General features: G+C 34.3%; 1 long non-coding RNA gene across 1 annotated transcript in view; it reads right to left on the bottom strand.

Moving 5' to 3' along the window:
- Nucleotides 1–1,889: 1,889 nt before the first annotated feature.
- The window catches only part of LINC02281 (long intergenic non-protein coding RNA 2281), a 30,070-nt gene continuing 19,180 nt past the window's right edge, over nt 1,890–12,779 (bottom strand). Inside the window, exon 4 of the long non-coding RNA NR_187181.1 lies at nt 1,890–2,015. This is a non-coding gene — a long non-coding RNA (long intergenic non-protein coding RNA 2281). The remainder of the gene's footprint in view (nt 2,016–12,779) is intronic.

A 12,779-nucleotide genomic window follows, 5' to 3' on the forward strand; every position in this document is an offset into this window, starting at 1 on the left:
TAAAGAATTTTAAAGTTTTCAGTCTACTTGGACATACAAGTTATTGAATATTCATATACAAAATTATTACCTTGAGTGCTGCATGTTCTGTATGAGATTTTATATCATGTGTTAAGTATTAAAAGGGTTTAAGTGCTCTAGACTTTAAACTACTTTATTTCTTTTGTTTCATATCTTAAATCGGCATTATAAATTCTACATTTTTATCATTAAACTTTTATATTATAGAACATATACATTTCAGCTTAAGGTTTTATGCATATTTGTCAAAAATAATTTCAATTCTATAGTAGTTATGCAGAAATTATTTTAGCATTTGAAGTTGTGTGTAATGTAAATGTTAATTAAAATTCATTGGCAAATCATTTAGGATTTTATGTAAGTTGACTTCAAGACATTTTCTTCCAAAACAGTTGTTATATTTCTCCATGTTTCCTGCATGGTGGATTTTGAATTTAGCATCTGACATGTTTTCTCAACTCTAGTTTATAATGAAAACACGTAGGTACTCAAGGGAATGTGTTAAAAGCAAAAATTCTATGATCCTTGAAAGGTAAATGACAGCGCTGAGATAGTCACATCTGGATCAGAAATGTTTCATTTGTTTATCTAACTAAACAAACACAAATAGAGATAATTAGGATGCTAGCAATGCATATTTTAACAAACAACTTATGGCTTTGATTAGGTCAGAATCCAGTTTTTGGTTTTTCTTTATTCCCACAAATTTGTAAAAATGAATTGACCTTCAGCATTAAGTGGCTTTGAGTGATTACAGTAAATCTATTATTTTCTATGTTGAAGTCTGAAGATAAAATTAATTCCTGGAATTCAAAGAATCATGTACATTATATATTTAAATATATATTTTTATGCATACACACATAAACACACACACACATAATCATATACGGTATAGTGTGCCTAATTATTCAATTTACCTCACCTTATTTTTATTCTTATTAGAATTGTACTAACATGTTTCAGAATTGCTAAGCTTTAGCTGTGAAAAATCAGTCACACACACAAAAGAAAAATGAATCTCTTGGTAAAATCACAATTGTTTATATTTAAAATAGGTTTTTAGCATTATAGTGAACTGTTAATTGACTTTTAAATTTAGTTTTGCATGTAGATTAGTAGGTTGAAGAAGAAATTTTAATGTAAATGAATATCTTCTAAATCTTATTAGTTTTCTCTCTTAAAAGTATTTTTTATATCTTGAAGACAGGAACTTAAAATATTCTGTTTACATTCTGATCATATAGCTCAATTTTAAATTAGTAAAATCATATTTCTTGCTGAGTTGAAATGTTTTTTTAAATTCTAGTCAAAAGCTTTTTATTAAATTAATATAATCATACCCTCTTGTTCAGTTAGGAGTAAAGTAGTTGTTTAATTAAACATGATATTTGTTTATAATGTAGTGTTTCAGAAATACTAGTTCAAAAGATAGGATAAGGATTTATATCAAATGTTTCAATCTGACAAGTAAATTACATTTCTTCCACCATAAAAAGGTAAGCAGAAAACTGTAGCAGCAATGAAAAGACATATTCTTACTATCTAGTGATATGATATGCACCAGTCTGCAAAATATGACCTTTTCCACTTTCAAGATTCAGCCAAAGTTTTTACAACCACTATAATAAGGATCTTAGTTTTGGCTTTTAGTACTTTTAATATGATGTTAAAACTGCCATTCCTTTTATTAGTCAACTCAGAGGACAAAAAAAGAACAGGATGGGTTTCTGTATGAAAATCTGAATATATTAAAATCTAAGTTATTACACAAACATGAAAAATGGTAAGTCTCAGTAAATTCTATGCTCAAGAATGAAACATACAAAATGGCCCCCATTTGCCAAAGCAGAATCAAGAGGATAATGTACATTTTTAATAGGTTTTATTTCAATAAGTGGCCTTTGTTGTGATTTCTCCTTTGCACATGCTTTTGCCTTTATACCAATTACCATTGCTGTTACATCAGTAGAAGGTATTCTCTTTAGTTAAACCTATGAAGTGAAAAGAAACTCAATAAGAATTATATATGTAAAGTAAAATATTTATATAATGATTAATTTGCATGGAAGTCTGGATAATCTAAATTTGATGGAATTAGAAAACAGATTTTATATTTTGACTATTTTTGATAGAGCAAAAGTGTTATACATTTTTAGAGAACAATTTCCTGTATTTGGTTTTCCCATTGGAATTAGAACACTGTACAGAAAAACTAAAAGGTTACAAAAAGTTATACATAAATTTGTACTTTATCAGAACAAGACAAATTGACGTTACTATGTCACAAAACATAAACAATTGGACTTTCTTTTTTCCCCCCGCCCTGAGACAGAGTCTTGCTATGTCACCCAAGCTGGAGTGCAGTGGCGCGATTTCAGCTCACTGCAACCTCTACCTCCCGGGTTCAAGCCACAGCCTCCCAAGTAGCTGGGATTACAGGCACCCCCCACCACACCTGGCTAATTTTTGTATTTTTAGTAGAGACGGGGTTTCACCAGGTTGGCCACGTTGGTCTCAAACTCCTGACCTCATGATCCACCCGCCTCGGCCCCCCAAAGTGCTGGGATTATGGGCATGAGCCACTGCGCCCCACCAACAATCTGACTTTCTCATGTTTGTTCAAAGTTTAGCTATCATGAGCTTGTTAAACATGTGTTCAAAATTGCTGAAATATTGCCTCCCTGTTCTATGAAATACAAGGTGCGTATAAACCCTTATTCCCTCAGTCTCTAATTGATTCTCTGTGCATTCCTCTGTTAGGTTTTCAAAATTATTATGATAGAAATATTGATATAACTAATGTTTATTTATTTTATTTTTAAACTAGTATTTATTTAGCGATTATTATGTGCCAGACACTTACGTATGTTCACTATTTGGATAAATTTGGCCACTTCTTTTAGCCAAACACACACAGACAAACACACACACACACACACACACACACAAACAGTTATATTCACAATACACTTGCATTTTATTAAGTAGGTTAAAATTATATATAAAAGAGAAATTGGGGACCAGTCCTTTTGAAATTAAGTTAATGAACAGGGATGTTAAAGTGTAGTAAAACCAATCTGGTATTATTTTATGTTGACAGTTATATTTTTTCTCCCCTCAGTGAACCACAAAGAAAGAAGATGGGTATGATTTGTACAGGGGTGAAATAGGTTGTCTGTCAGTTGGGGTTAGGCGACAGTCTGTCTGCAAGCCGTAAGATGATCTGCAGAGCGCCAGAGGAAAGCAGGCAGGATTCCTGGCTTGTAAGAATAGATATTGATCTACCTTAGCCACCTAAACAATGCCTCACCTGTTTGCCTTGTCCATACCTTATTTTACGCAGTCTAATGCTTGTTTTGTTTGACTTTTCTTTTATTTCTCTGGATCTGAGCTTTGATACACTTTGGGGAGTACATAAACATAGTGTTGTACTTGAACATCACCATACTTCTGAGTCCTCTGGTAGTTTAAGACCACCCCTCCCTCTTGAATAGCTCTGTTATTGAAAATTATGAACCAGAGCTAAATTACTAGTCTGCATACAGAAGTGGCTGATCCAGCAGTCTAGTGTCCAATAACACTGACTGTGAGATGCTGCTAATTACTGCCCTATAGACCTCGTTTAAAATTTCTTAAATTTCAACTAGTAAAGGACTTTATTATTATTAGTTCTTTCTTTCCCCAGCTGATAGTTGAAAGATAAGTTACTATACCATTTAGAATTCTATCCACTTATTTTGGAGCAAAAAAAAAAATGTTACTATGTACTGCCTCAAGCACTAATGAAATACAAAACTACACTCAGCTTCCCAGTAAACTATAATATAAATATTTTACCAGCACTTATTATTAGTTTGCCATTTCCTGCTGACAGCTATTCCAACTTTGCCAGCAGGCACTGGGTCTCACAATTGTATTATGTTTTGAACAAATAGCGACAAACAAAAATTCTCACAAAATAAATGAACAAGATTTCCTGGGGAAAAAACCTATTCCAATGTTAAATGAATATTTCTTTTAAACTCTGACATGTAATATTATTTAATTTTCATATTGTGCACTTCACTTTTACTGGAAAACAATTAAGTTAATGAGGAACTAAATAATGTGCACCCGGAGAAAATTTAATATTACTGGTTGTCTGATTTTAAGTTTGTTTTTTAACTTTCTGCTATTCTAGAGCAGCCACATCATAATACTTTTATTGATAATGGAGGACTCTGATTTTCAAATGAATCCATTTAAAGACCTGCGGAGAATAAAAGCAACTATTTTAGAACCACAAAATGAAAAGTTTCACATCAAACTGTGTTTTTTTCCCCCTATGCTGTTTCCCCATGCTATCAAGGAATACCATAAAACACAGCAACTGATGAAATCCAAAGATGCTTAAAATGTGTCTTGGTTTTAAACTGGTGTGACCTTCTAAAGACCTTATGTCAACAATAATCACTTCCCTGAAAACACCGCCTACCTCTTTGCTCTACTCTTGCTTCATTATGATCAACTGGATAAAATATAACTTTTGTTAAATCAAACCCTCAACCTACTCTGCATTTGCCCACTTGCAACTGAATGCAATTGGAGAAAAAATACAAAACAATGCTGACCTCACCTTAAGTTTAGAATCACTCATCTCAAGTGGCTCCTTTATGCTGTCTAGCAATCACACTATATTTTTCTAGCTCCTTCCTAAAACTTAGATGATTATTTTATACCTTCTCCCATCAAATCTCCTACACCTCTTTCCCCATCCTTATCCTAAGTGGTTGACCATGATTTCCACTTTACTAAGAAATTTGAAGTAAACAGGAGAGACTTCGCATGAGCTTCTGTATCGACATCTATTGACCTAAGTATACTTGTGCTAATTTACTTGAACTTTCATTTCCATACTCCTAACAAAGTGTAGCCTTCAATTTTTGTGCTGGATTCAGTTCCCTTCCCGCCTACCTTAAGATGTAAATCCAGCAACTCTCTTTCTTGCACCACACATATTTTTCTTTCTTACGCTACATATACTGCCCTTACTACTGGATGATTCACATAGCACGTAAACATGTTTCTGTCACTTCCATTTCTAAAGGCCTCCCTTTTGACTCCACTTCCCTTTCCAGCTTATTCCCTTTACAATCTTTCCTCTTCTCTAATTTCATTTACAACAAAATTTATTGAAAAAAGATGTGTATTAGTCTGTTCTCACACTGCTAATAAAGACATACCCAAGACTGGGTAATTTAGAAAGGAAAGAGGTTTAATTGACTCAGTTCCACACAGCTGGGGTGGCCTCACAATCATGGTGGAAGGTGAATGAGGAGCAAAGTCACATCTTACATGGTGGCAGGCAAGAAAGCTTGTGCAGGGGAACTCCCATTTATAAAACCATCCAATCTCGTGAGACTTATTCACTACCACGAGAACAGTATGTGGGAAACTGCCCCCATAATTCAATTATCTCCACCTGGACCCACCCTTGACACATGGGGATTATTACAATTTAAGGTGAGATTTGAATGGGGACACAGCCAAACCATATCAAGATGCTTCTGCATAAAGTTTCCAGTTTCTCTCCTTCTATTCTTTCTTGAATCTATTCCAAAGGAATTTTCAGCACCAAAATTCGACTAAAATTGCTTTTATCCAGGTTACCCATGAACTCCATGTTGCTAAATTCTCAGTCCTCATCTTACTTGAACCCTTGTTAACATTTGACAAAATGGATTACTGTCTACTTGAAACACTTTCTTTGCTTGGCTTCCAAAACAATAAATTTACACCGTTGTTATGTTTTTCCTATCTCTCTGGATGCTCCCTCTTAGATTTTTTAATTTCCTCCCAATCTCCTTGGCTTCTAAATGTCATAGAGTCTCTAGGCTCAGAACTCACATCAATTCTTTTTTCTATGCTTAATAATTATTTTGCTGAATTTCATTCTTCTCAAGACTTTGTCATTGATACACTGATATAATATGTAAGTATATTTAATATGATAATATATAAAATATTCATACTCTATGTAAAATATAGAAGTATAAAATATATAAATCTATACACATATATAAATAAATATATAAATGTGTCATATTTCTTTTCTAAATTCCACTATTTATAGCTGCCAATAAAATACCTCTGCTTGGGTAGCAAATACACATCTTAAGTTCAACATGTGTAGAATTAACTTACTGTTATTCTCCCATAACCTGGTCTTCGCCTAGTCTTTTCCTTTGCAGGGGTAGGCAATTCCTTTCATCCAATTGCTCTAACCAAAATTCTGTCTCTCTCTTTTTTTTTTTTTTTTTTTTTTTTTTTTGAGACGGAGTTTTGCTCTTCCTGCCTAGGCTGGAGTGCAATGGCCCGATCTTGGCTCACTGCAACCTCCGCCTCCCGGGTTCAAGCGATTCTCCTGCCTCAGCCTCCAGAGTAGCTGGGATTACAGGCGTGCGCCACCATGCCTGGCTAATTTTTCATATTTTTGGTAGAGACGGGGTTTCACCATGTTGGCCAGGCTGGTCTCAATCTCCTGACCTTGCGATCCACCCATCTCGGCCTCCCAAAGTGACCAAAATTCTTTAGACTAGTCTTTGGCTGCTAACTTTCACTTAAACACCCACTTTATCATTAGCTTTTGTTGGTGGCTGTTTTCAAAATGTATCCCAAATTCATCTACTTTTTACGTCTACTGTTATTGCCACAACCCAAGTCCACATCATCATATCTTGCCTGGATTTTTACAATAGGCTACTTTCTGCTCTTCTCATTCTTTAGGTTTTATTCAACTGGTAGCAAGTAAATGTTCAAATCTGAAGTGGGTAATGTCATTTTTCTGCTCGACTTCTCACTATTTTTTTTTTCCTCATCTCACTCAGGATAAAAGCCAAAATCATTGCAAAGATAGGCAAGTCCCTACTTACCTTTCTGACTTTGTGTTCATTTACTCTGTCTCTTCATTGCTCTGTCTGGCCACTTTTGCCTCCTTTTCTCAAGGATACGCAAACTGTTCATGCCTCAGGAAACTTGCATTTCCTGTTCTCTCTGCTGGGAACACGTCCCCTTCCACAGGCATACTAACATACACACGCTCCTCCTTTCCTTTATGCAGATACAAATGCATCATTCCCTAACCCACTATCAAATATTCAACCACTCCTTCGTGCTTCTTATGACCTTTCCTGTTTTATTTTTCTTCTTACCATTTAACATATATTTTATTTATTTATCTTGTTCATTTTTGTCTGTCTCACTAGAATGCATGCCCCATGATGTCAATAATTTTGTTTTTTTAATCTTATTTTGTCAGTGATAAACTTCCTTGTTTGAAATACTTGAAATTATAATTGGGGCCAGGCGCGGTGGCTCACGCTTATAATCCCAGCACTTCGGGAGGCTGAGGTGGATGGATCACGAGGTCAAGAGATGGAGACCATCCTGGCTAACATAGTGAAACCCCGTCTTTACTAAAAATACAAAAGTTAGCTGGGCGTGGTGGCGGGCGCCTGTAATCCCAGCTACTCAGGAGGCTGAGGCAGGAGAATCGCTTGAACCCGGGAGGTGGAGGTTGCAGTGAGCCGAGATAGCATCACCACACTCTAGCCTGGCGACAGAGCGAGACTCCATCTGAAAAAAAAAGAAAAGAAAAGAAGAGAAAAAAAATATGTATAGTTGGAAGGAATGTGTGAATATGGCTTTCCCCTCTAGACCTTTGCACCTACTTTTCCCTTGGTGCTGTGTACTTTTACTCCTTTTTCAACTTTTCAACCTCTGTTCTTGAAGTCTCAGCACAGATACTTTCTTAATAGTCTTCTGACCACTTCCATCAACTGCAGGCTTTGTTAAGTGATATACTTACCCGTACTCCGACACTTATCATACTTTGTAAAAGTATCTTTTTGTTTTTCAGCCTCTTATTACAGACACACTTTAAACCTACTGCAGGCAGGTTGTTTGTCTTATTCTGTTTTGTATACACATCATATAATTTAGTCCCCAAGGTATGAACATTAATAAGGGTCTACTCTGCTAGGCATGACCCCAGGGATGGGACTTCAGCAAGGGCTGTGTCTACTTTGTTCATGCTTACATTTTGTGCTTGTGCATAATAAGTACTTAATACATGGATGTTTAATAAATGCAATTTTACATTGGAAAATTAAAAATGAATATAGGCACATAAAAACATAATATTTCTTCCTATGATCTTTAATGGTAAGATTCAAGAGGATTTCAAGAACCATCATCTGATAAACATATTCTGTTAACATAAAGTAAGCATATCCTAGATTATGGATACTGTCCTAGATTACTGATACTAGACTATGGACACTGTCCTAGATTTTTGGTAGTTTCCATCATAAAAATCTTTATTTATTAATTTTTTTGGACTCTTGTTTCCTCCTAAAAGCCTGAGAATGTTTTTCATGAAGAAGTTGTATTCCTCTAGGACATTTTGAGGAAAATCCTTTTCTCAAAAGCTAATCTGAAAAAGCCTGATTTGTCAAATTTACTTGTTTAATTCTTCAGTTTTAGTAGATAATTTTTATTTTGTCATTACTGTAGCATTTTAAGAAATATCCAATTTTTTTTCTCTCTCAGCTCCCTACTATACATCTGTAGAGTAAGGGATAAGGAGTAGAGGAGACAGAGTAGAGAATGTGGAGATACTAAGGGGCATTGAAAATTTCTTTTCACCAACTTCCTATTATTTGTGCTATAATATGAAAACCATCATAGCACTCAATTGCACGAATTATATTTGCTGTTGTTCTGTTCTCAAGTGCAATTAGTTGCTGGATGAGTAAACATCCTCCCTAAATTCATACAAACATTGCACAGACACACACACACACACACATAAAATCACTTCCTACAACTCTAGTCTAAAAATATAACTATATTAAATTTTTAGGTTAAAAGTATATTCTAACTCACAGGTTAGGAGAAAATATTTATCAATTACATATATGTTAAGGAACATGCATCCATAATATGTAAAGAATTTTTACAACTCAACAGTAGCAAGTAACTCAATTTTAAAATGGGCAAAAGATTTGAATAGACCTTTCTCCAAAGAAGATATTCAAATGGCCAATAAGCACATGAAAAGATACTCAATCTTCAACATAAGTAGTCATTAGGGAAATGCAAATCAAACCATAATGAATTATCACTTCACACATACAAGGATGGCTAAAATAAGACAACAATAACAACAAACAATAACAATATTGAGAAGGATGTAGAGAAAGTGAAACTCACACATCGATGGTGAGACTGTAAAGTCATACAACTACTTTGTAAAACAACTTGAAAATGTCTCAAAATACTAAAAATAGAATTATCATGGCACTCATTATTTCCACTCCTAGGTTGTACCCAAAAGAAATAAAAATATATGTTCATACAAAAACATTATTTATAGTAGCCAAAAGGTGGAAACAGCACAAATGTTAATCAACAGATGAATGGATAAACAAAATATGGTGTATCCACACAAAGAAACATTTCGCAATAAAAATAAATGAAGTACTGATATATGCTATGTATCAGTGTCTCAATGTTCAACATGTATGAACATGAAGGCATTGTGCTTAAATAAGCCAGCCACAAGTGACCACACACTACATAATTCCATTTATGAGAAATGTCAAGAATAGGTAAATCTGTAGAGATACTGAATATATTGCTGGCTGCTAGGAGTCAGAAGAGGAGGGAATAAGGAGTGACTGCTAGTGGGTGTGGGTTTCCTTGTGTAGTGATGAAAATTTTCTAAATTTAGATAGTGATGATGGTTGTACACAACTCTATTTGTATACTGGAAACACCAAACTGTACAGTTCAAAAGGATGAATTTTATGATACATGAATTTTATCTCAATAAAGCTATTAAAAAAACAACATTCTGTGGTTATATGTTTTTGACTACAAATACCGTGTATAGCTTTTAAGTGTATGCCCCCTTGATTGCATTTACTTTCTAATACAACTTTTTGTTTTTCCTAGAGCTTGGTTCATAATTACATTACTTTACATTTGTTTAGTTGTTTTTTTTTATGTGACCATTGTTATTTCAGAGCCAACTTTCTACCAAAATTATAAATCTTGTTTTTTATACCCAAATACATTACATAACATATGTATTTCCTTTTTTTATTATTGTTTTCTGAAGATATCTATTCTTCTGGCCCAGACTGCTCTATGGCAGTTTTGTTTAGTTTAGCCAAGGCCTACTGTGTAGCTGTTTTTCTCAAACATTTTTTCGTCATCCTGGAAATTACTTTTTTCTCTTTCCTAAATGTGATTCCCTTTTTCCTGGATTTGATATTCATTGACTTATTTCTTTCATTTGGTGGAGTATATCCTTTAATACCTTCCTGAGAATGAATGGCTACCTAGAAGAAAAATTATTTTAGGAATTACTTAAAAATGATTGTATTCTACTCTTGCTCTTAATTGATAGTCTGGTTGGAAATAATTTTCTCACAGAATTTGAAAATTATTGCTCCATTGTTTTCCACCTTCTCTTAAGAGTGATGCTATTGAGATGTTAGATATGATTATGTTTCTTGATTCTTTGTATATGCTCTATTTTCTGTCTTTTTCTTTCTCGGGGTTGATTCTTTTCTTTTTTTTTTAGGATTTTTTATGGTATGTTTTTCTTTTTAAATTCTATTTTGGATACAGGGGGTACATGTGCACATTTGTTACATGGGAAGATTGCAAGATATTGGGGTTTGGAGTACCGATCCCATCACCCAGAGAATCAGCATAGTACCCTACAGGGAGTTTTTAACCCAAATCCCCCACCCCTACTCTAGTAGTCCATAGTGTCTCTTGTTCCCATTTTAAAGTTCTGTAATGCTATGTGTCTTTGGTGTGGGACTTTTTCATTAATTTTGCTGAATTCTTGGTTGTGACTTTCAATCTGGAACCTCATGTGTTTTGGGTCTGGGAAATATTTTTGTATTATTGCCCTGATAGTTTCCTCTCTCATGGTTTTTTTTTTTTTTTTTTTTTTTTTTTTTCCTGTTTTGGAAATCCTGGTATTTGGTTTTTTACTTTCCTGAGCTGACTCTTTGATTTTAGGATTTTTAAAAAACTATTTTCTATCTCTTTGCCTTTTTGTTATGCTTTCTGAAAGACTTTTTCTTCTTTCACATACATCCCAACTTGAATTTATGATAGTCTATTTTGGCTGTCTTACTTAATATTTCAAAGAACTCTTTCTTGGTCTCTGAATGTTTCATTTTTGGTTTATTGGTGCAAATATTCACTCATCTTTCTCAGGATATTAATTATAGTAAAATTTTCTTCTCCTTGATTTTGTTTCCTCTCAGTAATACTTTTCTCTTTTTGTTGCAATTGTTATATTTAATATCAGAGGCTTTTCATTAATATTTGAGAACTAAAGAGCACCAAAATGCTGTTTGAAAACTGTATATTTGGGGAGTACTGTGTAGTAAGTTTCACATCAGTTGATAATGTAGAGATTAGGGCACTTCTGTGGGAGATCCCCAAATTTTAGTATTCTTTATGGAGGAAGCTTGTAATCTCCTACAAGAAGGGGCCAACCTGGGTTGTCAGCAAAGAAGAGGAAGCAGGTATGCAAAGTTTTAATTAACCAGTCTCTTTTTAGTTCAGCAACTCATCTTGGCTTTGGCTCCGTTGGATGTCATCGCATGTAGTCTAGCAAGTCAGTTTCTACCATCTTATTCTATCCGCAATTTCTAAATTTCATTCGTGTATTTTATCTTTTTCTTCTCCCATCCCATTGTTCTTGTCATTAATAAGATTTTTGAAGGGAGCAGAAATACACACATGAATTCAATCAAATAAACGTGCATGTGTTAACATGAAAGTTTTCAGTTATTTTAAGAAATGAAACCATTTTTAAGCATCTTCATCATCATCCAGAAACATATATTGAAAATTTTCTGTGTGTAAAATCCTGTTCTGGGCAATGTAGTGATGCTAAGGAACAAACATACCATCCCTATTTTAAGGGTTAGGATGACCAAAGTATTAGAACCTAAATATTTATAATAAGTAAATGTATGAGTGTTGTGAGCAATGATACTAGAGTTAGACTGTTTAGGTTTAATCTTTAATTATTAATTGTGATCTTGGACAGATTACTTAAGCTCTTTACATCTTAATTTCCTCATTTATAATGAGAATGTATTAATGCCAACTATTGCTAAGGATACTGATAGTTAACAGTAAAAAAATCCGTTATTCTCACATTCCTTGTTAACAGAGTCCCAATTTTGTTATGGATAGGTACACAGCTAAAAAAATCTGTATAAACTCTTTGTCCCTTACAGCTAGCTGCGACCTTGTGACACAGTTGTGGCCAAATAAATTTAAGTACAAGTCACTAGGCAAGGCTTCTAGTAAAGTTTATTAAAGCAGGAGGGTTTGGCTGGCAAGTGCTTTCTTCTGTCTCTCTTCCCTTCTGCTTGACTGAAATGTTGGATTTTGTATCCAGGCAGGCTCCTTTGGATTTGAAATTTTTCTGTTCAGCCTTTCTTAACATGCCATTTTTGTTCCTGTGTTTGTCAAACTGAATTCTACTTGGTAGAACCAGGGAGTGCTTCCCAAAGAGGATGAAGTGAGCTAGGTCTTAACATCTGAGGAGACATTAGTGAGGTAGACAAGATGAGTAAGAAAGCCCCAGATACAGGGACTGAACATGCAAAGTGGCAGAAGTGTAAGAGCTTTTGGCAGAAGATGAAGCTGGAGAAGTAGTCAAATGCAGTATC

The sequence above is a fragment of the Homo sapiens genome, chromosome 14 (assembly GCF_000001405.40).
Source record: "Homo sapiens chromosome 14, GRCh38.p14 Primary Assembly".
NCBI lineage: Eukaryota > Metazoa > Chordata > Mammalia > Primates > Hominidae > Homo > Homo sapiens.